Source organism: Homo sapiens, chromosome 4 (assembly GCF_000001405.40).
Source record: "Homo sapiens chromosome 4, GRCh38.p14 Primary Assembly".
In the NCBI taxonomy this organism is placed as follows: domain Eukaryota; kingdom Metazoa; phylum Chordata; class Mammalia; order Primates; family Hominidae; genus Homo; species Homo sapiens.
This window is the reverse complement of record NC_000004.12, coordinates 153,111,728-153,114,121: the sequence shown is the minus strand read 5'-3', so window position 1 is coordinate 153,114,121 and position 2,394 is coordinate 153,111,728. Positions and strand designations below refer to the sequence as shown.

At 49.7% G+C, this 2,394-nt stretch overlaps 1 annotated feature.

The window, feature by feature from the left end:
* Positions 1,352-1,851: an enhancer, noted in NCBI's record as "H3K4me1 hESC enhancer chr4:154033423-154033922 (GRCh37/hg19 assembly coordinates)". NCBI's record gives its function as "activates a minimal SCP1, AML or CMV promoter by ChIP-STARR-seq in primed H9 embryonic stem cells {active_cell/tissue: H9 hESC(primed)}" and the evidence as "EXISTENCE:reporter gene assay evidence [ECO:0000049][PMID:30033119]".

Sequence of the window (2,394 nt, the reverse complement as noted above, 5' to 3'; positions counted from 1 at the left end):
GAGAGTCTGTCGAGCCACAGAAAGACTTCTTCTAATGAGAGATTCCAGCACGTCTTTGTGTGTGAGTGGAAATGATTCAGTGGAGAGAAGATCGAGGGTGCAGGAGGAGATAACTGGAGGAAGGAAGTCCTCCTTCATTCAACCAACACCAAGAGCTTCCCATGCCAGGCATCGTTTGGGTGTGAGCCACAGAGCACCAAGTGGCCTGGGCAAGGCTGCCTCTCTCAAGAGCGCCTGTGCTGGAGTGAGTTCAGGTCGGGGAGCAGGGTGCTTGGGGTGTGACAAGACAGATGTAGCTGTGAGTCTACCTGTGCATTTGGAGATGAGAAGAGAATTGCGCTCCCCTCTGATATGTGTATTTACTCAGCTCCATGTGGGGCAGGTCATGCATTCACCATGGGAGATGTGAAGAGAGAGATGCTGCCGGGGAAAGTCAACTCACAATGGAAATGGACAGAGTAGCTAAGCAGTGCCCATTAGAGGTTTGTGGCCATGAACTTAAAGTGAAACCAGTCAGCCCGACAGTGTGACTTTTCCTGTTGTGGTCAGCTGTGCATCCAAGTCAATACTAGAATCAGCCAAGGTTGAGGTTTTGCAGGATAAGTATGACTTAGAGAAGAGAGAAGCAAGGGGTTGAGGAATTCTGCCAGGGAGAGGTTGTAATGAGGCAACTTGCAGTCTGAGCTGAGTAAGGAGGGCAACAATGAGGGAAGGAATGACAGAAAACGCACAGGCAGGGACGTCAGTGAATGAGAGCCCTTGGGCTAGAGTCCTAGAGCACAAGAGAGCTGGGAGGATGTCTGAGATCGATAATTTAAAGGTGGCTGAGATGCTTGTTATGACAAGGTCTACGGTGTGACCATGAGACTAGAGTGGCTCAGGTGGGAAACAGGATAAGGCACTGAGTTCAGTTGAATGGTGGGCTCCAAAAAGATATGTCAGTGTCCTGGAACTTGCGACCCTGTGACTATAATTTTATTTGGAAAAAGAGTCTTGGCAGATATAATTCAATTAAAGATCAATGGATGAGATCATCCTGGATTAGCCATGTGGGCCCTAAATCCAGTAAGTGTCCTTGTAATAGAAAGAAGGGGAGACAGACACACAGACACAGGAGAAGACCAAGTGAAGAGATTGGAGTTACACAGTCACAGGCCAAGGAACCACCAGAAGCTGGAAGAGGCCAGGAAGAGTTCGCCCAAAGCCTCCAGAGGCACTGTGGCCCTGTCCATGCCTTGATTTTGGATTTCCAGCCTCTAGATCTGTGAGATAATCAATTTCTGTTATGCTAAGCCACCGATTTGAAGCAATTTGTTTCAGCGGCCCTAGGGAACTGCTACTGAGACTTAGAAGCTCTAGTGTTGGTCAGCTCCTCCATACGGATGTAAAAATCAGAGGAAATGTGGAGGAGAAGGTAGTGAGGCAGAACTAGAGTTTTTAATGAATGGGATAATCAGAGGTTGGTAAGGACCATCATGAGGAAAGGCAGGATGTGGTGGAGCTGAATGGCACAGCTTCACATAAGCTGTGGGTTCTAGAGAAAAAAGAGAGAGATGTAATTTGGAAATGGCAGTAGGGGTGGGGGCTCCAAGGTGACCAGAGTCCCAGGGAACAGTTGGCCTTCAGTCCACACAGACACCAGGGCCAAGCAAGGAAGGGGCCGAAGAGGTGGGAGCATGCGGACCACAGCAGGGCTGGGTGTGGTGAGAAGGGGCTATGCTCCACGGGGTGGGGGCATGGAGAGAGCAGAGCGGAGCAGGGTGTGGGGACAGCTGGATGGAAGCTATAGGACCTCTCCTGGGACCCCGCCAGTAGGCACGTGAGGCCTGCTGCACCCAGTTCTTCTGTCCTGAGAGGGCTGCGGGCCATGTGCAGGAGCTGTGCTTCCTGGCACTAAGCTTGATTGTTGGCCTTTGAAGACTGCTCCCTCTGACAGCTGATGACGCCTTTTGGGCCACCACAGGCTTTCCCGGCACACCTGCATGCGGGTGCCTCGGGACTGCTCCAGCTCACAGCTGTCTTTACAGCTTCCAATACTGCCCTAAGGGCAGAGCTAAACTAAAGCTTTGGAGCTCGTTTGTCTAGATTGATGCCCAGATTATATCTCAGGATTTATATTAATGCATGTCTAACAATAAGCAATCTGTTAAATAAATTACAATACATTCATATGATGGGAGGCTATGCGACCATTACAAATTATGCGGTTGAAAACCACGGGAAAATGCTCACAACAGATAGTGTCTTGGTTTGTTTGGGCAGCTGCCATGACACCGTGCCATAAACATGGGGGCTTATAAACAAATTTATTTTTCACAGTTTTGGAAGGGGTGGGGGCCAAGATCAAGGTGTCGGCTGATTCAGTGTCTAGTGAGGACCTTTTTCCTGGTTCAC